The sequence below is a fragment of the Homo sapiens genome, chromosome 12, assembly GCF_000001405.40.
Source record: "Homo sapiens chromosome 12, GRCh38.p14 Primary Assembly".
Classification (NCBI taxonomy): domain Eukaryota; kingdom Metazoa; phylum Chordata; class Mammalia; order Primates; family Hominidae; genus Homo; species Homo sapiens.
Window position 1 is genome coordinate 93037498 of NC_000012.12, and position 23967 is coordinate 93061464.

At 40.2% G+C, this 23967-nt stretch overlaps 1 long non-coding RNA gene across 1 annotated transcript in view, besides 2 other annotated features; it reads right to left on the bottom strand.

The window, feature by feature from the left end:
* The window catches only part of LOC643339 (uncharacterized), a 373979-nt gene that overhangs the window by 33740 nt on the left and 316272 nt on the right, over nt 1–23967 (bottom strand). The gene's annotated exons all lie outside the window — the stretch shown is intronic.
* Nucleotides 77–254: a silencer, noted in NCBI's record as "fragment chr12:93431350-93431527 (GRCh37/hg19 assembly coordinates)". NCBI's record gives its function as "represses an EF-1alpha promoter that drives an FKBP-Casp9 reporter gene in an ReSE screen in K562 erythroleukemia cells {active_cell/tissue: K562}" and the evidence as "EXISTENCE:reporter gene assay evidence [ECO:0000049][PMID:32094911]".
* Nucleotides 22962–23011: an enhancer, noted in NCBI's record as "active region_6761". NCBI's record gives its function as "activates an Ori minimal core promoter by ATAC-STARR-seq in GM12878 lymphoblastoid cells {active_cell/tissue: GM12878}" and the evidence as "EXISTENCE:reporter gene assay evidence [ECO:0000049][PMID:35858748]".

The following is a 23967-nucleotide window of genomic DNA, read 5'->3' on the forward strand; positions in this document are numbered from 1 at the left end:
ATGAATTTCCCGAGGCTCCACCCCGTCCTCCCAGTGTGCAGGTGGGCATTATTCAGAAAGAATCAGTCAGGAAATGGCAGGCTTCATCCAGAACCAGCAGTCTGGTTTTTCAGCCTTCAGGCTGCTTTAGGCTCAAGGGCGGGGTTTTGCCAGGGGACTTTTGGCTGCCTCCTGTCTCTATCACTAACACATATTTACTGTTTCTATTTTATTTTATTTTATTTTTTTGAAGACAGTCTTACTCTGTTGCCCAGGTTGGAGTGCAGTAGCACAATTATGGCTTACTGCAGCCTCAGCCTTCTGGGCTCAAGCAATTCTCCCACCTCAGCCTCCCAAGTAGCTGGGACTACAAGTGTGCACCACCACACTCAGCTAATTTAAAATTTTTTTTCTAGAGACAGGGTCTCACTATGTTGCTCAGACTGGTTTTGAACCCCTGGGCTCGTGAGCCCCCTGCCTCTGCCTCCCAGAGTGCTGAGATTATAGGTGTGACCCAGCATGTCTGGATTTTTAAAAAAATAATAATAATAGTCATCATAATGGGTATAAGGTGGTATTTCCTTATGGCTTTGATTTGCATTTCCCTAGTAATTAGTGATGTTGAGCATGTTTAAATGTACTTATTGGTCATTTGCATATCTTCTTTGGATAAATGTTTGTTTAGATCTTTTGTCCATTTTTAAATTAGGTTATTTGTTTTGTTGTTGTTGAGGTGTAAGAGTTCTTTATATATTCTGGGTATTAATCTCCTATAATATTTATAATTTGCAAATATTTTTTCTTATTCTGTGGATGGCCTTCCTACTCTGTGGATAATGCCTTTTATGCACAGAAGTTTTTAATTTTAATGGAGTCCAATCTATGTATTTTTTCTGGAAGATTTATCTGATTTTATTTTAAGACAGAGACCTCAGCTCACTGCAACCTCCGCCTCCCAGGTTCCAGCGATTCTCCTGCCTCAGCCTCCCGAGTAGCTGGGATTACAGGCATGTACCACCACGCCCAGCTAATTTTTGTATTTTTAGTAGAGACGGGGTTTCACCATGTTGGCCAGGCTGGTCTTGAACTCCTGATCTCAAGTGATCTGCCTGCCTCAGCCTTCCAAAGTGCTGGGATTACAGGCGTGAGCCACCATGCCCGGCCAAAGATATCTTTTAATGTAGGCTTTGCACGGCTAAAATTTTTGAAGAGCAAGGCTCAGATTGGATGTGGTTTTGGTTGTGGTGGATTTTTATTCTATTCAATTTACAGCAGAGCAAAAAGAATAAAGGCTTAGGTTTCATAACTCACAAAAGTACACTAACTGATTCATATACTTTGGATGATTCCATCATATGTCCAGCACTGAAATTTTTCCTCATGGCAATTGAGGGATACAGGTCTCCCTGCCTCCTCTCCAGTCTATTGGATGCTCTAGCACCTTGCCGGGAGGCACCAGAAGGGAGTCAGATGAAAGTTACTCTTTCACTTGTAGGTCACAGTGTATTAGTCTGTTCTTGCATTTCTATAAAGAAATACCTGAGGCTGGGTAATTTATAAAGAAAAGAGGTTTAATTGGCTCATGTCTCCTCAGGCTGTACAGGAAGCATGGATGCATCTGTTTCTGGGGAGGCCTCAGGGAGCTTTTATTCATGGTGGAAGGGAAAGCAGGAGTAGACATCTTACATGGAAGGGGCGAGAGACAGGGAGAGAGAGAGAAAAGAGAGATAGAGACGGGGGGTGTGTCAGACACTTTTAAACAACCAGATCTCATGAAAACTCACTATTGGGATGACAGCAGGAAGCGGGATGGTGTTAAACCATGAGTAACCACCCCCATGATGCAATCACCTTCCACCAGGCCCCACCTCCAGCATTGGGAATTACATTTCAGCATGAGATTTGGGCAGGGACACAAATCCAAACCATATCACACAGTAACCCAACTCATTTTCTTAAGCAAAGACAAACTTAAAAATGCGGAAAACATTTAAATTCTGCTCAGAATTAATTAGCTCCTATAACTGAAAGAGAGAGCGGTATCCTGGCTTCAGGTATGGGTGGCTCCAGGTTTGCAAACAATGTCCCAGCTCTGCTCTTCTTGGGTAGGCACCATTTTTAGTTAGTACTTCTCTTTTTTTTTTTTTTTTTTTTTTTTTTGAGACAGAGTCTCTCTCTGTCACCTAGGCTGGGGTGCAGTGGCGTGATCGCAGCTCACTGCAAGCTCCGCCTCCCAGGTTCACGCCATTCTCCTGCCTCAGCCTCCCGAGTAGCTGGGACTACAGGCGCGTGCCACCATGCCCGGCTAATTTTTTGTGTTTTTTAGTAGAGACGGGGTTTCACCGTGTTAGCGAGGATGGTCTCGATCTCCTGACTTCGTGATCCACCCACCTTGGCCTCCCAAAGTGCTGGGATTACAGGCGTGAGCCACCGCACCTGGACAGTACTTCTCTTTATGATAACAAAATGATGCCTGTTGGCTCTTAAATTATTTCTTACCTTCTCAGCAGCTCCAAGCAGAAAATAAGTTCTCTTTTCCTTATAGTTCTAAGAAAGTCCTTGTGTGATCTTTTATCTTAAAACTGACTACACTGTTGGCCCCACGGATGAGTAAACATCGGTGGGTCAGCTGAAGTGCTTTCTTTGTTGGGGAGACACGTTCTCTGATGAACAACTATGGTCAATATTGACACCTGTTACACTATGAATGTATTTCTTCCCATCATTAACTTGCTTCAGCTCTTACATGGAGGAAATACTCATACTGATGGTACACTATTCAGGGCTGCATGAAGATGCCCCTGCTCCCAAGATGCGAGGGACCAGTGGGCTAAGAGCAGCAGAAAGAAAAATCCATAGATATATTTTGTTTTGGAAACCAACATTTAGGCGTACATCACTGCCTCATGTAGTATTTCAAAGTAAATAGAATCAGTTCACTAATCACCCAATTCTGCTTGTTTTTAAAAAATATAAACACCAGCTAGACTGAAGACTTGAATAGGACTGAGTGTATGTGCATATAACATAAGGAGAAAAGCTGTGAGTATAAGAAAAACGCCTATCTTATTTTCTGACACCTGTCCAAACAAGCAGAGGAAGGTGAAGACAGAAGACCATTTCGGCATATTAAATATGAGAAAGAAATAAAAATACTCTGGGGCCTGTGAGCCAGTGATCTATCCTCTGACATAACTGTTATTTCTATAAAGTACAATTTTGAAGCTCCTTGACAGCTGAAAGTTGAAAAATTACTTGTTTATCTTTTTCACTCCTCCTTAAATGCCAAGTTTACATTTTACTCTTCGTACCACTATGTTACTTTCTACCTATTCTGCAGGCAGTCAATTTAAAATATGATGTATTTGGCTGGGTGCAGTGGCTCACACCTGTAATCCCAGCACTTTGGGAGGCTAAGGTGGGCGGATCACCCAAGGTCAGGATTAGAGACTAGCCTGGCCAACAGGGTGAAACCCCATTTCTACTAAAAATACAAAAATTAGCTGGGCATGGTGGCAGGCACCTGTAATCCCGACTACTTGGGAGGCTGAGGCTGGAGAATCACTTGAACCCAGGAGACAGAGGTTGTAGTGAGCCAAGATCGTACCACTGCACTCCAGCTTGGGTGACAGAGCAAGATCATGTCTCAAAATAATAATAATAATAATAATGAAAAGATTTATTTGCCTCCTTATGAAAGAAAATTTTAAAATAAAATAAAATGTAACATATTCCCACCCCAGGACCTTTGTACTTCTTGTTCCCGCCACCTGGAACACTCTTTCCCTAGAGAGCTATATAGCTCACTCCTCCACTTCATTCAGGTCTCTGTTCAGTCGCCACCTCATTATAGGGGCTTTTCCAATCACCCTATCTAAAATAGTCTCCTCCAACCCCATCACTCTCTCTCTACCTTTTCTTACAACACTCATTCCTACCTGATATTTTATACATTAACTTATTTTTATCTGTTGTCCCCAATAGACTGTAAGTACTACAAGGGCAAAGACATTGCTTTGTACCCAGGCACTGCTTTATCTCCAGCACACAGAACACTGCCTTGTACATAGTAAGTGTTCAATGTATAGTATACAGTGAATATATCTCAATCTTTTTTTCATTGCTACAGACAAGACAGCATTGTTCCCATGCAAGGGCACACTCCCACAGGGATAAACACATCATGGCAAAGCTTAAAATTAATTTTCTGGCAGTACAACCAATGGTGGATTTTGTTTTAGTTGGAAATTGGGGGTGGAACTCAAAAGCATTTTACAATTATGTCAATGATAAAGATCACTTATTTAAAGATCCCAAAGCTCTTATAAGGGAAAAAATAGAATTATGTCTTACAAGACAACACAGCAAATCAAATTTAAAACTTTTAAATATATATTTTATATATATATACTTTTTTTTTTTTTTTGAGATGGAGTCTCGCTGTGTCGCGCAGGCTAGAATGCAATGATGCGATCTTGGCTCACTACAGCCTCCGCCTCCCAGGTTCAAGTGATTCTCCTGCCTCAGCCTCCTGAGTAGCTGGGACTACAGGCGCCTGCCACCACGCCTGGCTAACTTTTGTATTTTCAGTAGAGACGGGGTTTCACCATGTTGGCCAGGCTGGTCTTGAACTCCTGACCTCAGGTGATCCACCCACCTCGGGCCTCCCAAAGTGCTGGGATTACAGGCATGAGCCACCGCCCCAGGCTCGCATTTTTTAATTTATTCATTCAGTGCCCATCACATGGATCCTGTCAACCTTCAGTGGACCATGGGCATACACTTTGGGAAACGCTGCCGTAAAACAAATACCTGATTAAGTATTCATTTTAGTTCCCAGTATGTGCCTGATACAGTTCACTGCTTATGAAAGGAATATAAAAATATGAACAGGCCTTTGAGGAGCTTATAACCGAGTAGATACTCAATAAATATTTAGAGAGATCAAATTTTAGAGATCAAAGCAATGTATATGTCTAGTATCATTAGAAAGAATGAAAACACTGGCCGGGTGTGGTGACTCATGTCTGTATTCCTAGCACTTTGGGAGGCTGAGGCGGGTGGATTGCTTGAGCTCAGTAGTTTGAGACCAGCCTAGGCAACATGGTAAAACTCTGTTAAAAAAAAAAAAAGAAAGAACAAAAGGAAGAAAGGAAGGAAAGGAGAGAGGGAGGGAGGGAGGGAGGGAAGGAGAGGGGAGGGGAGAGCAGGAAGGGATGGAGGGAGGGAGAAAAGGAAGGACGGAAGGAAGGAAAACACCTTTGTCCAGTGTTGAGAATAAATGCAATACTTCCAACTCTGTGGTCTCAAGATTTGTTTTGCTGTATCTAATGCGGATGACCTTTATCAGCAAGACACCCATTAACACATAGAAGATAAGTTGCAGTGTGAATAGTGCCTTGAGACTGTGGCAATAAAACTGGAGCCACGCCTGAGTTTGCAGTTTATTTGGCCGCACGTGGCCATGGAAAGTGAGCATGAACCATCATTGTATGATATACTCAAGGCTCAGGAATATGTATACAGGTTATTAAGTCAAAGTAGCTGTAAAACACTGCACGAGAGTTGATTCAGTCTGTTAAATATTTTACACCTCTTACAAAAATATCTACCCAAAAAGAAAATTAGATACAGTGAATAATTCACAACATAAATGCTCTTGTGTGGGCAGGAGTTGGGTGGTATTTGTTTTTATGAGGTGAAATCTGCAGTTATAACATAGACTTCTTCCTAGAATGGCAACCAGGATTCTAAACTGGCAACAGGCAGCTGCAGGCCTGATGTGAATTTACAGGTTGCCTAGTAGTGCTACTGAAAAATAGATTGTGTGGTAGGAGGTTTTCTCATAACTTTTTTCTTTGTCATTGCTTTTCTTCTTCTTTTCCCTGTGCAGGCTGTAAACAGATTGTAAAATGTGTGACACCCCAGAATCTGAGAAAAAATACAAAGCTACTTTTAGTATCCTTCACCATAGCCTACAAGTTCTTTCCTTCCTCCCTTCCTCCCTTCCCCCACCCTCCCTCCCTCCTCCCTCCCTTCCTTCTTTCCTGCCTTCCTTCCTTCCCTCCTTCCTTTTTTTGAGACAGGGTCTTGCTATGTTGCCCAGGCTGTTCTCAAACTCCTGGACCCAAGTGATCCTCCAGCCCTAGCCGCCCAAAGTGCTAGGATTACAGGCGTGAGCCACCAGCACCAGGCTGCTCTTGCTTTTCTACCCAAAACTGCTGGACATGTGCACTTGATACCTATGACTTCATCTACTTTCAGACAGCCATGAGGGGTAGGAGCTAGGGAATGAAGGTGGGGCCCGATGAATGAGTATATCAATCATGTTTTTAATTTTAGATATCTTTTGGTATTTCAACATTTTGGGGAATTTACAGACCCCAGAAGAGACCACCCCTCCCGGGGCTATCTAATTCCTAAGGATAATAACTTGCCTATAAGCATGCCTTTCACACACAAACCAACCAAACTCAAGCCCATATTCACCAACCACCTCCTTATCTATCTCTCACACACTAGCCAATATTTCCCCTGAGCTAAATTATCTCAGGGCCAGGTATTAGGCAACCACAGACCACCTAGATAAACCAAAGCCTGCTGGGATTATTCAAACTAGGCAAAGCTGAACTGTTTGCCCTGCCTTACCTTTCCTGCAGAAACAAGGCTCTAGCCTAAGTGTTCCCCTCGCTCCTTTGTCCCTTCTGACAGAATCTGCATGATGTGGCGTTTCTCCTCTCAGAAGAGCAAGTAATAAATTCTACTTTCAATAGCATCGGCCTCTCCTTGTCGTCACTCAGTCCGTACCTCCATAAGTTAAAATCTCACAGATGCAAATGGAGAAAATGGACTTTTGTAGCCATTTTTAGGAACAAGGCAGCTTGGCTTCAAATCTTGCTCAGAGACAAACTACTTTCCCCAAGGCATCATCAGTGACCGTAACACACACCTAGTCACCTAGTGTAGGATGGGAGCCAGGCATTCTCTCTGCATGGCTTCCTACTTCCCACGTGACATAAGGTTGCATGGCCATGCGCACTCCTGTGTTGACTTTCTACAGCAACATTAAGGTCCAGAAAATTTGTGTGGCCTCCTGAAGAAAGTAGGAATGCAGATCTGTAGAGGGAGTGTAAAGGTGGAGCCCTGCTCTTCCGATTCTCACACAGAGCCACTGGAACAATTATAACGAGCATGGCTGTAAACATTTATTTACTGAGTGCCTCTCTCTCTGCTTCATGTTTTACATGCATCGTCTCACTAAACCCTTGCAACAAGGCCATTAGGTAAGTCCTATTATTATCCCATTTTAGAAATGGGAATTTAGTGTTAAAGACACTGGTCATATAGCTGGTAACTGGCATCTTGGGACTTGACAGACTAACTCTAAATTCATAGCCCACACTCTAAATCCCTACTCTATATCATCTGTCCAAGCTGAATGAGGCTACCTCTCCCTCATGAGACAGAATTCAAGAGTCCAGTTCCCTTTGTGAATGAAACATCAGTCTGAAAACCTTAACTCCTAGTTGGGCACCTTTAATTGGCTGATGGATGGTACCATGTCTCCTTCCAAACCAAACATATTTTTGGTAGGTTTTCAGAAGCAAGATCAGCTCCAGGCAACACTGTGAAATAGGCAACCCTCTTGGTTTCTGGTGACTGAAACCAAGTGCCCTCACTACCTCTGCAGATGACCCAGATCACTCTACTCCCAATACCGTCTTCTGTGGTCTGTGCCTTAGGCCCCAAATTCATTCTCTGCCTTCCTAAACTTATCAGAATTCTCATTCCACTTTTTTGAAATCCATTAAGGGCTCTGGATTCAAATGAACCTGGTTTCTAATTCCAGTTGTACAGCTTTTAGCTGTATCACCTTGAGACCCAATTTCCTTATTTGTAACACTGTCACAATAACATAGACTTTCTCAGTTTTTTTTAATAAGAATAAAATGTGGCATATCCAGTGTGTTGTCTCAAGATCAATTCTTAACACATGGTGCTCCATAACGATAGTTCAGCCATGAGGAATATTTCCCCAATTTTCATATATGCTATTTAAACAAAAAGTAATAACACTGGCTTCCAGAACCACAAAAGTCAGACTCTTTCCATTGTAGACATACATCACAAATACGTCTTGATAGACCAACCAGGAAAGTAAGCACTGACCTAGCACATTTGCTGGGAATTCAAGTGATATGGTTTGGCTGTGTCCTCGCCCAAATTTCATCTTGAACTGTAGCTCCCATAATTCCCATGTGTCATGGGAGGGACCCAGTGGGAGGTAATTGAATCATGGGGGCAGGTCTTTCCCATGCTGTTCTCGTGATAGTGAATAAGTCTCATGAGATCGGATGGTTTTATAAAGGCGAGTTCCCCTGCACACACTGTCTTGCCTGCCACCATGTAAGATATGCCTTTGCTCCTACTTCACCTTCTGCCATGACTGTGAGGCCTCCCCAGCCATGTGGAACTGTGAGTCCCTTAAACCTCTTTCCTTTATAAATTACCCAGTCTTGGGTATGGCTTTATTAGCAGTGTGAGAACAGACTAATACACATAGGAAGTTCTGTTAAAACTAGACAGTAGAATAAATGAAAATTAAGCAATTAATCTAATAAGAGATGTAAGAGAATGCAGTCTACTTTACAATTTTGTCAAATGTTTGGAGCTCTCATGTCATAAAATTCTAAAAGGAGAATTTTGTAAAAAATTCGTCACGGAAAAAGCACTAAATCAAGCATCATAAGACAAGCATCCTCATCACTGCTCTGCCACTTATTGGCCATATGACCTTGTATATATCACTTGACCTCTATGGATGTCAATTTCCTTCTCTGTAAAATGAGAATGTTGGACCAGATAATCCCAAGATCTTTTCCAGTTGTACCACTCTTTGAGTCAATGACTCCGCCATTATCCCTCCCCTTGTTCTCTGGAGATTTTGTTGCCAAAATAATTAGTGTTGCCCCCGAGTAACATCACGTAGCAAAGTCCAGTCACGCACAGGAATTCTAGGCACTGTGACTGCGAATTCTAATCCCTCTTTGGTCATGCCATCATTGAATGACCTTGGGCAGGCACCTAACTTCAGCTAACTGCCTCACCAGCCCTCCAGGGATTTGCCCGATAAATTTCCAACTCCTTACTCTCCACAAGCTGCCCTCCAAAATGCCTTTACAATGCTTAACTTGGGACCACCCATGACAAATCATGAAATTAGGCTTTTTCTCTGAATAATTCTCAATCATAGTATGTTTCTGCCTCAAACATAAAAGCCTTCTTTTCTTCCTGTTAAAATCATAACCGTCTTTCAAGGGAGGTGAAATACAAGTGAAAACTTAAAAGGCTGAAAAATTTGTCAAATCTATGGCAAACTCAAGTCTGGGTAGAAGAACTGATACACATTGTATAATAGAACCACCATGATTTCATTAGGCTAGAACAAAGGGTGGAAACTAAGGAGAAATACAAGCCCTCAGCAGGTATTTTTGAGCAGATGTGTCTTATAATAGGATTGGCACTACAGTCTCTGACCTAAATTTAATGGAAAATAAGTCCAATATTTCTATTAATAATAATAATATAATAGCTGTCATTTGTTATGCAAATATTGACTTAGGCATTCTGATAAGGGATTTACATGCTGTACCTATTAGAATGCTTTCAGCTGCAAGTAAGAGTACCTAACTATAAGGGGCTTGGTGGTTTCCTGTCTCACATTGGCTGAGGAGGAGTTGGTCCCAGGGTTGGCTAATTGAGCAGCATGACACCAGGGAGCATCCATCCTCCAACTCTGCTATTTTCCATGTGTGGGTAATATCACCCCTTGTGGTTGCACAATGGCTGCAATGATTCCAGGTGCCACACAGATATTTCAACATCTACCAAAGCACACCTCCCACATATCTCTTTTTATTGTTTAGGAAAACTGTACCCAAAAACTTCCTACAAATTTCCCCTGACATCTCATTGTCCAGGATTAAATCACATTACCCATACCTAAACCAATCAACGACAAAGGAAATGGGACTGCCAATATCATCTTAGATCAATCATGATTCACCTCTGGTTCACCTTCCTTGAACATATGGTATGGTGACCACCCTACCCAAACAAAACTGAGCCCCACTGGCAAAGAAGGGGAGGGTGAGCTGGGAATTGGCAGTTGGGTAGATAACAGTGTCCACTACACACAAATTATTATTTCAACAAATACCCTCTGAGGAATTATTATCTTCATTTTGTAGATGAGGAAATTGAAACTCAGAGAAGTCAAGTAAATTGCCCATGGTCACACAGCTAGAAGTTGAGAAATTCTGTGTTCTTAACCACCATATTGATAGTTCTGAAGTTTCAGTGTATGCAAGAAACATTAGAGAGTTTAGTACAAACATAGATTCTCAACTCAACTCCACACCCAGGGATTCTGATTCAACAGTCTAGGAGAGGAGCCCTCAGTCTTCATTTTCAACAAATAATTTCAGTTAATTTGGATACAGGTGGTGTATGAACCACATTTTGAGAGAATAGGATTGGCTATTACTTGGACAGAAGTCCGACTTAAAACAAAAACAAGGCCAGGCATGGTGGCTCATGCCTGTAATCCCAGCACTTTGGGAGGCCAAGGCAGGCAGATCATGAAGTCAGGAGATCGAGACCATCCTGGCCAACATGGTGAAACCCCGTCTCTACTAAAAATACAAAAATTAGTTGGGTATGGTGGCGCGCGCCTGTAGTCCCAGCCACTCGGGAGGCTGAGGCAGGAGAATGGCGTGAACGTGGGAGGTGGAGGTTGTGGTGAGCCACCGCACAGTCTGAACAACAGAGTGAGACTCTGTCTCAAAAAAAAAAAAAAAAAAGAGCAAAAAAGCCCCCTGATTTTCTGGAAGTCCCAGACTCACTATCTACAAAAGCCATCCATCGTTTTTAAGTACCACCACAGAAACATCTCATCCCAGTCCCTCTATAGTCCGTACAGGTCAGCCCCTATATAGTGTCAAGATCTTGCTCCCTAATTTAAGAAGGTTATAGATAAAACTTTCAGATGAGGGGAATGAGCTCCATGAGAGATCTAACAGGTCATCTAAGTAACCATTGAAGAATGTGGGAAGATTTACGGTTGAGGACAGTCAACTCTTGTGGGTAGGGATGAGAGAAAGCCATCATCACCCTTTAAATATTGTCTAGGATATTACGTGTAAAGGACACTCAGAGGTAGGATCAATGATAAGAAATTATGAGGCAGCTCATTTTGTTTTACTATGTGGGAGAACAGACTAATAATTAACTTGGTCAACAATGGTAAAGGCTCTCCACCTCACAAAACACTCCGAATGCATTCCAGCAGAGGCTGGCAGACCCTGTGCCTGTCACCAATGCTGTAGAAGGGAGTCCTCCATTGAAAGGAAGCATTGTGCAGATGACTTCTAAAATATGCTGTGATCCTTCAACCACATCCTCTGCAAACTGACTTGTATTCTTTTTTCACTATAGTCATTTCTGCTGAATACCTAGGGGTACCATTTAATTTCGAATGCATTAATGTCCTATTTTCCCAAATTGATAGAATATGTCTGACTCTTCTTTGTGTCTTCATGGTACCTAGCTCAAAACCATGCTCATCATAGGTACTTAATAAATTGTTGGTAAATGTAAAAGGATGGCGTAGAATGGCGGGTAAGCACATCCAGATGATGGGTAGAAGATAACTGTTAGTACTTCTGCCCTGTTTACCACCATTCTTCCCTCTCTGGACAAGGGGCATGGAGGCTATATTTGCAATATGCACCCTCCTCGCTGGCCATTATTGATTGGGTCAGAAATTAACATGTGAGGCAAGCTAGGGCCATAAGACTGACACTAAGATATTAAGACAATCTTTTAAGGTGGCTATAATTGTAACATGTGAGCTAAAAAGCATGATCTACTGAAAAAGAATGAGGCAGATGACAGACAAAGACTGAGCTCCCTGGCTTTCCATCTCCTGGGTCCCCATCCCTTCCTGAGGCTCATGTATAAGTGCGCCTTTGGTCTCTGAGATGAACCCCTCTGTCTTTGTAAAATTCTTCCTCCCTCCTTCCCTTTCTTCTTTTCTTGTTTTAGATTTTATTGAAGTTGGTTTTAGTTCATCTCAATCAGAATATTTAATCCAAAGAAATTTGTTCCTGAGTTTGCTGTTGAGGCCACTGATGCAAATAACTCATGCTCTTAGAATTCCAAGAAAATCCAGGATTTGGGGGACCCCAGTGACTACAGAGCATTTAGACCTTTGCATGTTACCAGATATTTTAGAAGGTTCGAGACTGGTTCTACTGCAGGCTGATTTTCTTACCACTCCAAACCCTAACCTGCAGGGGCATCAAAGCTCTTATGAAGGCTCCACCATCAGACCACAGGTCTCCTTATAACGAAGATCCCATCCCCTGCAGAAGAAATTTTGAGGTAGGAACTAACCTCTAGCGCAATGAGGCAAGGCCAGCCCAAATAACAGATGGGAATATTTAGAGGTATCTAGAACTCCGTTATGCTACAAAGTGTTTCTCCGTACAACATCTTGGGTCTACATAAGGCAGTATCCCTGTAAGATGCAAATCGTCTTTCAAAACCACATTTATCAGTGAGTAGTCAGTCACATGAACCTTTGTACTTCAGTTTTGTGGCAAAACTGTTTCCCAAGATGCCTGTGTTTTTCTTAATCTGTGCCCCATGCTGTTAAGCAGAGCATGTGGCCTGTCACTTTGACATACTTAAACAGGCTGTGAACAAATCCAGCTGATGCTTTTCCAAAACCCATTTCAATCTTGGCTGCAAGGGCATCCCTGGCTGTGAGGGGTAGGTAGAAACAGATAGTCCAGGAGTAGGCAAGGAGATCATTGAGAAATCCATGTTTTTCCCTCCTGCAATTAGGATATCTCTTATGTTGGCTAAAGATGGCAAATCATTAATACATGGGAGATAAGAAAGAACCAATCCTTTCCCCTTTCATTCTTATTCCTTAGAGTTCTGATGATCATACTTTGCCTAGGACATTCGGAGGCCCCTGCCATAGTCCTTTCATCAGCCCTTACTGCTTTTTGATCCTTTTGTTTTTCCCCAGGCATAACTGCCCCTTGTGCTGAGTTCCCTTAGGAAAGGAATCACGTTTCAACAAGGTCCTCACATTGTAGAATGAAATCTCTCTGACTCATTGTATAAATATGCAAAACCCTAAATTCTCTTAATTAAAAAAGTAGAACCAGGGAAGCCAACTCAACTTCTTGCTCTGAATCTGAACAGAAGTGCTGTTTGGTGAAAGCAACTCCTCAGATGTGTGACCAGTTCGGCATCCACAGACAGTAATGAGGAATAACTTTAATAACCAATATTCTATAAGGATAGGGACTGTCATCAGAAGAGACATCAATAATCTTCTCTTGGCAAATGAACAAACAAAAATCACTCCCATTTTTTCACTGATGCTTGAAATTTCTTTAACAGGAATTAAATATTTCTGGAGAGGCTATATGTAATTTTGGCTAAAAGTTTAGGTATTTACTTGTTATTGCAACTAGGCAATAAGTATCAAAATTTTTCAAAATATGCATACCTTTCGACCTCACAATTCCACTTCCAGAAATTTATTTCTAGTAAATAATCTGAAAGTTGTACAAAAAAGTCTGTACGTGAAGCTTCATTATAGCTTTTTAAAAACTTCTTATAATGCAAATTTCAAACATACGCAAAATTAAAGAGGATAATATGATGAACCACTGTGTATGTACCACCCAGCTTTATCAGTTATCCACATTTTACCCAGCTCCTGTTTTATTTATTCTCCACCATTCTTTTTCATTGCTATTTTTGCTGGAATGTTTTAAATGCAATTCCAGCCATCTGGCATTAGTCTTTTAAATATTTTAGTTGTAATATTTTTAAAATAAGAATTTTTTTGGATCTTATTATTACCTGGTATCTTTCTTTCACCATCCAAGTTAGCAATAATTTCTGAATATCCTCCAATACACATTCATGTGCAATTGCAGAATGTCAAAAATGTCTTTTTACAATTTGTTTAAATCTGGATCCAAAAATTTTCACAGGTTGGATTTAGTTGATAGTTCTCTTAAGTCTCTGTAACCTATGACATTGTCTCCACTTTTTATTATGCCATTTATTTGTTGAAAAATTAAGGTCATTTTGTCCTGTAGAATTTCTCATATTCTGGATTTGGTCAATTGTCTCCCTCTTGTATCATTTAATCATTTTTTTTCCCCCTGTAAACTGGCAATTAGAGCCTGAGGCTCAATTGAATCCAGGTTCTCTTTCTTTCTTTTTTGGGTAAGAATACTTTGTAGATGGCTCTGTGTACTTCGTATTACATCACATCAATAGGCACATCAGGCTGTTCATCCCATTTTTAGTGGTGTGTACATCAATTAGCAGATTCAAGTGCTCTCAGCCTAATCCCTCCATTATATACTTTTTCATCAATTTTTCGCCTAATGGTTTTAGCAGTTATTGATGTTCATTGCCTAGATCCATTATCTCGTTAGAGATTTTAAAGTGTTGATGTTGTAATTTTTTAATACCATATTGTTACATTAGCTCTTCCTTCTGTAATGAAGCTTTTGAACCCCAGCTTTTTATTTTTTAAGAAAATGTCAGTTATCAAATAGTAAACACCTATAACCTTCACCTAGATTCACCAGTTGCTAACATTTTGCTACATTTGCTTTATCACTCTCGTTATTTATACTTATTTTTTGCTGTTTCATTCAAATTAGTTTACAGACATTATGGCAAGCTTTAAATATTTCAGCTTGTGTCTTCTAATAACGATGACATTCTCCTCATAACCATAGTTCCACACTCAATAAATTTAGCATTGATTCAATATTATCTAATAAAGATTTTTTAATTGCCAATTGTCACCAAAATGATCATATATGTATGTGTGTGTGTATATATATATATATATATATATATATATATATATATATATATATACTTTTAAAATCCAGAATCCTTCAAAGGTACATGTGCTACAGTGGTATCATGTCCAGTAATTTTCTACTTCCATCTTCTTTCTACATTTATTAGTTGGCATTCTTTTGTAAAGAAGAGCTTTCTCTTTTCCTCCATTGCCATCATTATTTTTTAGATGCTCATATTGACTCAAATTTGTCCAATGCGAGCAACCATAACCTGGTTACTGCATCATTTTGACCCAGTCCCATTGGTCTTTGAGCATTTCCTTATTTTCTGGCACACGTGATTCTAGGCTCACCTTACACTTTCCCAGTCTCACACCTAGAATCAGCAGTTTCTCCAAACTTCCCTGGTTCTTTTCAATGAAAAGTGCTGTTTAGAAACCAAGATTTGGCTGCTAGATATGCTTCTAGATATGCTCATTGTTTCTAGACCCTGTCAGTGCACAGAGCTAAGAAATATATCTTTCAAGAAACGTGAGTTCATACTGATACCTCTTATTCAAATCCTATATCATAGAGAAATCTTCCTCCATTCTCCCTTTTTATATTTTATCTTCTCCCACAGTAAGAACCCTCATTTCCAAAAAAATTAAGTGTTTTATTGTTTGCTATATGCTTTAAAATGCACAAAATATTCTTAGTATTACTTAGCAATAGTATTGTACCACCACAAAAAACAAGTAAAATTAAATATTTCTTTAAAGTTCCTTCTCTTCATAAAATATATTTTATTAAGGTGTATTAAAAATTTATTTGAGGCTGGGGATGGTGTCTCATGCCTGTAATCTCAGCACTTTGGGAGGCCAAGGCAGGCAGATCACTTGAGCCCAGGAATCCAAAACCAGTCTGGCCAACACACCAAAACCCCATCTCTACTAAAAATACAAAAATTAGCTGGGCATGGTGATGCATGCCTGTAACCCCAGCTACTCAGGAGGCTGAGGTGGGAAGATGGCTTGAACCTGGGAGGCAGAGGTTGCAGTTATCTAAGATTGAACCACTGCACTCCGGCCTGGGCAACAAAGAGAGACTCTGTCTCAAAAAAAAAAAAAATTTTGAATTAATTCTGCTTTCTATGTAGGAATACTTGCTGTAGAGTTGGATATATAGTTAAGTTCATTTGTTTCTCTTTATATTCAATTTCAGTGTTGCCCTTTTCATTCTTTTGATTTAATTTTATTTTTTGAACATGTATAATTTTTACATGGTTCAAAAGTCAAAACTACAAGAAGGAAAACTCTAAAAAATAACAACCCTATTCCTATCCTTTATATTCTATTATTGTCCCCAAGCCTCTTTGGTGTCTAGTTTTATGAATTCATAGATTATTTTTGATATGTTTATGCTTGCAAATATAATCAAATATTTCTTCTTTTTTATTACTGTTATATATATTTTGCTATTTAAAAAGATTTATATTTTTAACACAGTGGTTACCTTTTTACTAATATTTAATTTTTTAAGGGTCATAATCCCTTTTTCTTACATAGACTTCTACAATTGGTTTGTACCTTTAAATGATATCTTCTGTCTGCCACATACTACCTACATATCAATCAATAGTCTTATTTTACTTCCTCCTTTCCCTTTCTCTTCTTCAATGTTTTCAGTTGTATTATCTCTAATGTATCAGAATGTATAATATATACATATTTTTCTTTCACCTCTGTTCCCATCTTTGTTTAAGTCTTAGAGCTACAATTAAATATAATCAGCACTCACCATCAGTGCTTTGCTGATATCTCATCATTTCCTGGTGGGATACATTTATTGTCTAGTAGATTTCTCAGGATGGAATCATGATTATGTGTATTCTCACTCTTGTATGTTTACAGCTATTTGCCTATAGCCTTGATATTTGAAGGTCAACTGGGCTAGATAACACAGACTTGTTTTTAAAAGTGGGAATTGAAACAATTCAAGGAATCAACAAAGATTGGTAATATAAATAAATAATGGTCAGTTAAATAATGGAATCCTGTCCATTCAACCATTATACATACTATAAACAGTGTGGAAAAATAGAAAATGATACATAAACTTGCAATGGTCAAATTTGTGCATATGAAGTATAAGGATGCTACAAATGTGTGTGCACATGTATTTAGTAAAAAGAGGGTTGGATATACATGAAAAAGTTAACAGTAATTTTCTCTGGTTAGTAGAATTATTGGTGGTCTTTAGCTTCTTTGTGTGCTTTTCTGTATTTTTTAAGTTGTAGCATTTGTGGGATTGGAGAGAATACAATTTTTTTGAAGAGCAAGACAAAGATCTAAAGTTTTCAAGGTTTATTTTTAATGTGCTTTCTTTAATCAATACCACAAGATAGGGTGTACCAAGGAAAAAGCAGTGTGATCTAATTAGCAAGCTCAGGACAGCATAAGCTGGCCTCAGTGCCCTGCCTGCGCTAGGCACTCAATCAGTTGGTGCTCGTGATGATGAAAACTAAAATGAGTCCGTTCCAAGCAAGAACCTTTTGGGGAGTAGAGTTAACTTTTCTGAGTCAAGCTCCTGCCTCCAGGTTTGCACCGAGGATGAAATGAAGTAGTATTATATATCTGTAAAACCCCTGTCACTTCATCCAGGCAGAGAAGATAGATTGTTAGTACCTTATTCTCAAAACTAACAGAAATGTGTTCAGTTTTACTTGTTCTGAAGAATATAAAAACAATATGGATGAATGGCCAGTAAAAGGAGCCAGAAGCAGCCTATGAGAGTGTTCTAGAAAAACATGAAGGGGACAAGAAAAAGATACGAGGGATAGATGGATAAGGAGGGAGAAAGAGATAGAGAGAGGACAAGATAAAGTTTAGAGCCTATCATTAGAATATGTAATACTTGGGACTTTGCCTTCCGTTTAAGTAAAATGGAGGAAATCTGTGCCCTTACATCCTGACTGTGCTGTCGTTATGATAAAAAGAAGTAAATGGAGTGCAGGGTACACTATACACCTGCTTCTTTAAGTAATCCTTGCCAGGTAACTAATCGCTGGGATTCCAAAGGTTGTTCTTCCAGTGGGGGTGACCGTGAACTGTACCCCAGAGCAACTGAATCAGAATTTGAATGGGAAATGTCAGCCATAGAATTTGTTTAAAACATCTCTTCCAATGATTACGATGACTAGCCTGGTTTAAGAACTGCTGGCCCATACATAGGGCTACCATCTATCCCCTCTGCTGGGACAGTCCCAGAGCAAGTATTACTAGCAGCCCTTTCTCTTACAAAAATCTCTCTGCAGGGTATATATTATGCAGTTTCCTATCTGTACCTTGCCTCCGCTATTGGCATTCTCAGTGAAGGTGCATAGGGATAGCCTTGTACCATTACTTTCAGTCCAGAACTGAACACAAGACGTAGAGAAAAATTACCCCACGAAATTAAATTTGCATCAAAGTGTAGACCAAAGTCAGATCTTCCCTGAGAGTGGAATCTGATGTATACAGAAAACAAAGGCATAACTTTAAGTGGGGGAGAGAGAATGGGAAACCCGAGACATCTCCAAGACAATTGCTTCTGCTACTTCACCATTTGGCTCAAGCCAATTGAGAGAGCCAGAAATGAACATAGGTTTGGTTTTATCTGCTGGTTATTTAAGAACTTTTGCTTGTTTCTTCTTTACCTCTTCCCCAGTTTCTGGAAGAGTCAAAATAAGATAATCATTTGGCAGTGATATAACATTGCTCTTCAACTGCTGAGAAACCAATCAATATTCCCCATCTAGCTAATGTGTCATTCAATATTGAGTGTTACCTTGTTCTAGTTTAATCCTGATCTGTTACCTCTAAAATAAGGACATGCAAAGATAAAGATAAAAACTTGGGCACTCTCAAAAATATTCATGTTATAAATATGTAAGGGAAAATATTTCAGGTCATAGTCCTCAGTACATGCCAATACATTCTTGGGGTACCCACTTTCCTGCAGCACCAGAAACTTTGGCTTCCTCCTATGCTCTGGACATTTTCATTCTTCCTCTTTTTGCTCATCCTCTTCCTGTATCCCATATTATGGGCCTTTTCCATGGAAAGCCTTTTCAATTAATTCACTTTTAAATTCATATTCATGTTACCAAGTTTACAAATTTTAAAACATGGTTTTCATTACTTTCAATTCAAACTATGACTCTATCTACAAAGCCAGTAAAACAAGAAGATCACCTTCAAAATTTCTCTGACAAGTTTCTAGAAACTCCAGTCGACAGACTAAACTGCTTAAAGAATCAATCTCAGGTACAAATTTAATCAATTAAATAGTCTTAATTTTAAACTGCATTTGTAAGTGTAACATGTTCAGATTCATTTTTACGTGCTTCAAATGCTTGACAGGATGAAGTTATAACCATAACAAGCAAAAACCTCCCTAGCATTTAAAGATCTCTTGTTGCAACTCTGATCAAATAAACTTAAAAATATAAATTGAATTATCTTAACTATTCCAGTTCTATTTACAAACTTATCTTTATAAACATTCACCTTACAAATCCCAAGATTAAAATGTTACAGATTTTATATTGCTATCATAAAGATAACTTTTTAGGGTCAGAACGTGTTGGATTCTTTTGCAATAGCAAACATACTGGCCCTTTTAGAGCAGCTTAATTTGGGCAGATGGAATTCAGCAACCCCTAGCCTAGGCTGGATTCAACTAATCTCTTTACCGCCTGATTGAATTCTTCATTCCTTTCATATTCTTTTTGTCCAGCTCCATCCACAAAAGCCCCCATCTGTCTAAAAACGATCAGCCTTTCTTTGACCCAAAATTTCATCAAATCATAGTCCTTTCTTCACGTTGTGTCTGAAAATCCCTTTGAAATGCACATATACTATCTTGGATGGAGACTGCATCATGGCTTTAATTCTCATAACACCATCAACACCACACACACATTGGTTTCACTTACTCAACAAGAGGCTCAATGAGGTAACAGACTATTATGAAATGAATTTCAATGTCTTCTAAAAACTTTTTTTTGTTGTTGATATTTGTTTAAAACACACTGTGGAAAGAACACAGGCCTTTTTGTAAGCAATTTTTGAAAGGCTTGTCTCCTAGGCAGCTACAAACTCAAGACATTGCTAGGAGAAATTCTGTTATATGAAGACAGGGAGAGCTGGAAGGGATCTGATGACCATTTGGTCCCACCCCATGCTGTACAAAGAAGAAAACTGAGCCCCAAAGAGCAGGGGCAAAGGAGGGTAAAATGCCTTCACTTCTTCTATGTTCCAATTTGTGTGCAAGTTGAACTTCAGTTGAGATGCACAAAGTGGCACTCAATCCTTTCCCACTCATGCACGTTGCAGACATTGCCATGCTCCTCAAGCTCACTCATCCCCTGGCCCTGAATTCCTAGAAGACCACTCAGCCTTCACCTCCACTGAGTCAGTGGCAGGTATCATACATTCACTCACCACCCTCAAACTTCTAACCCAGCCTCACAAGAACCTAAATACTTTGTGAACAGAAGCTAAATTTCAGTGAACCAAAGGGTGAAAAGGAGATGAATAAGTAGAGACTCTCTTTCCAGAAATCTGGAGAAGGAGCAAGGTTGCACAGCAGCTGAGGGAGGGATGCAGGGTCAAGGGCAGGAGGGAGGCTGGAGAGAGTTGAGCCTATTCAGCTTTTAGAGGGAGACAGAGGGAAGGAATTGAGCCTGTCCACAGAGACATGGAGGAAGGTGAATACATAGGGCAGAGAGGGAATGATTGGCAGGGAAGGAAGAACCTTGAGAAGCGAGAGCAGGCATGGAGTGCACAGGTTGAAATATTGATTTTGAAGGAAGGAGAGATGCTTCATTCTCCAAAATAGGAGGAAGAAAAGGTGGATATGGGCATAAATACTGCTAAGGATGTGAATGAGAAAACAGTCCAGATGACCATGAGGATGGGGGATAAGCCAGGAGGGAATGTAGACTGTGTGGATAAGGAAGAGTCTAGGATCTGGACACCTTCACGAGCTAACTGATGGGGTAGTGGGGATAAGGGAATGAGTGAGCTGGGAGGACCTAGGAGTTTGAGACTTGGGGATGAGGGAATCCTGAGTGATGACGCAGCAAGTTAGGGCTGTTGAAATCCCGCATGGCAAAGTATAGGCTACGTGAAAACATTGAGGCCGAAACTAAAGATCGGAAGAGTTAGTGCATCAGGAGGACTGTCTTCCTGGACACTGGAGTTACCCAGCTGGCAGTTGGCAGAACATGGGGGAGAGAAAGGTCGTGAGCCTGCTGCCAAAATCTTTTTTTTTTTTTTTTTTTTTGAGACAGAGTTTCACTCTTGTCACCCAGGCTGGAGTGCAATGGTGCAATCTCGGCTCACTGCAACCTCTGCTTCCCAGGTTCAAGAGATTCTCATACCTCAGCCTCCCAAGTAGCTGGGACTACAGGTGCACACCACGACGCCCGGCTAATTTTTGTATTTTTAGTAGAGTCTGGGTTTCATCATGTTGGCCAGGCTGGTCTCAAACTCCTGACCTCCAGTGATCCACCCACCTCGGCCTCCCAAAGTGCTGGGATTACAGGCATGAGGCACCATGACCAGCCCCAAATCTCATGTGAATATTGGAGACTGAAAGGCAGATTGACACATGATAGGGATAACATAGGACAAACTGTGAACCACAAAGCCAATGGAAATTTACATAAGAGAGAAGGAATAGTGACCTGGCAATAGCTTTGGAGAGCAAGAGAGATATTAATTCCTAACTCCCAGCCCAGAGGGGCAGAGGGCAGGTGAGCATGAGCCCTCGCCACTTGAGAAGGATAAAAGGGAAGCAGGAACCTTAGGGGAGACTAAGGTTCAGCTGATAGCAGAAGACAGAGGAAACATTTAGGAAAAATGTTAAAGATATATGAATAGAGTTCCAAAGGGCACAGTTGAATGATGTGGAAGGAAAGGAGAAAGGGCAAGGAGACAAAAAGCATCCCTTTGTAACGGGATAAAGATTAAAGAGGTTTTTATCCAAGGCAATGGCTGAGATTGAGAGAGACAGGAGGCAGGGAGACCTCTGGCCTTAACTGACTAGCTGTGTGACCTTAGGCAAGTTACTTGCCCTCTCTGTGCCTCAGTTTCATGATTGTGAAATAAGGATAATACTAATACTTACCTCATAAGATTGTTGTTGCTATGAAGATTAAATATGTTAATATATGTAATGCACTTAGAAAAATGATCAACACATAGTCAGTTGTGAAGAAGCATTAGTTTTGGAAGGAAAAAGATTCCACTCCGCACTTTCCTTCAAGTGACAGACATTCAATTATATCAAGTCCTGAAGAATACATCCTCATTTCCCATCACTTACACACAGCAAAAGCCCAGCATGCAAAAGAAAAAAAAAACCCAAAAAACAAACCCTATCAGAGTCAGTGATAGATTCAGTTTCTCAGTAATTAACTATTATCTGTTCCTGTACAGAAAGAAAAGAGTGCTTAAAAAGTTGGTTGAAGACAGAAAGAATCTAGAGCTATAAATGTTAAAGATGAACAGTTAATATCATCAGAGAAACAGAAATCAAATCAAAACCACAAGGATATATCACCTCATGCCCATTAGGATGGCTACTATCAAAAAAAGCAGAAAATAACAAGCGTTGGTAAGAACGTGGAGAAATTGTAACCCTTGTTTGCTCTTAGTGAGAAGGTAAAGTGGTGCAGCACTGTGAAAACAGTATGGCAGTTCCTCAAAAAATTAAAAATAGAACTAGAATGTGATCCAGCAATCCCACTTCTGGGTACATATGCAAAAGAATCGAGAGCAGGGTCTTGAGCAGATATTTGAATACTCAAGGTTATAGCACTACTCACAATAGCCAAGAGGTGGAAACAACCCAAATGTCCATCAGTGGATGAATGGATCAACAAAATGTGGTATATCTGTACAATGGAATAGCATTCAACCTTAAAAAGGAAGGAGATCCTGACACCTGCTACAATATGAATAAACATTGAGGATTTTATGCGAAGTGAAATAAGTCAGTTGCAAGCAGAAAGATACTGTATGGTGTCCCTTATATGAGGTCATAGGAGGGGCATAGAAACAGAAAGTATAATGGTGGTTACCAGAGGCCTCAAAAAAGAGAAGAAGGAGAGTTGTTTCATGGCTATAGAGTTTCAGATTTGCAAAATGAAAACGTTCTGGAAATCTGTTTCATAATGATGTGAATATACTTAGTACTACTGAAATGTACACTTAAAAATGGTTAAGATGGTAAATTTTATATGTTTTTATAATAAAGAAAAATGAAAACAAAAAGATCATCTAGTATCTCCCCCCTTCCCCTTTACAGGTGACTGAAGTAAAGCCCAGAGAAGGTAAGCGACTTATCCAAGGTCACACAGTTCACGGAGGCAGAATCAGGATCAGAACCTGGGATTCTGACCCCTGCAGTAAGGGTCCGTCCATTACATCCTGCTCTCTATGTGAGGTGCTGAGGTAATGGAAAAGATGACACTGTTGATTTATCAGTAGTGACAGTGACATTCCAATGAACCTGAAAGGGATAAAGATTCTACTCTGCTTATAAATGTTCATGTGCCTGTGCTCTTTCTCCAAATCTCATCAGGATTATTCAAACCAGCAGTCTCTGACAGGCCACAGTGGAAACCTCAAGATATTCACAGCTGCTCTAGTCTGGAGACAGGCCAGAAAGCAGATGAGAGCAGTTTTTCCGTTCCTGGGCTGTTGCCCCTGTAATTTAGAAGTTCCGACACTGGAAAACAAGAAGAACTCAGGGGCTCACTTAAAAGCAAGCTCAGTGTGGGGTCTCCAATGTCGTGCAGGGAAGCTGCTAGTCAAAACTTGCTAATTTGAAATGGGTTCACTGACTCCTTCTTCGGACTCAGGGAATGAAGTCTTTTTTCCCCACTTAGGAGTTTTTCTTCGGCTCCTTATTTCAAATTCCATAAAAGAGACAACAGGAAAAGCTGGCCCTAGCCCAAGAAGCAGAGATGAAAACCAGATCTCTATTTTTGTAAGTGTGATGTCTATAGGTTGCCTTCTATTTTATATCAGAAAGTTCTATT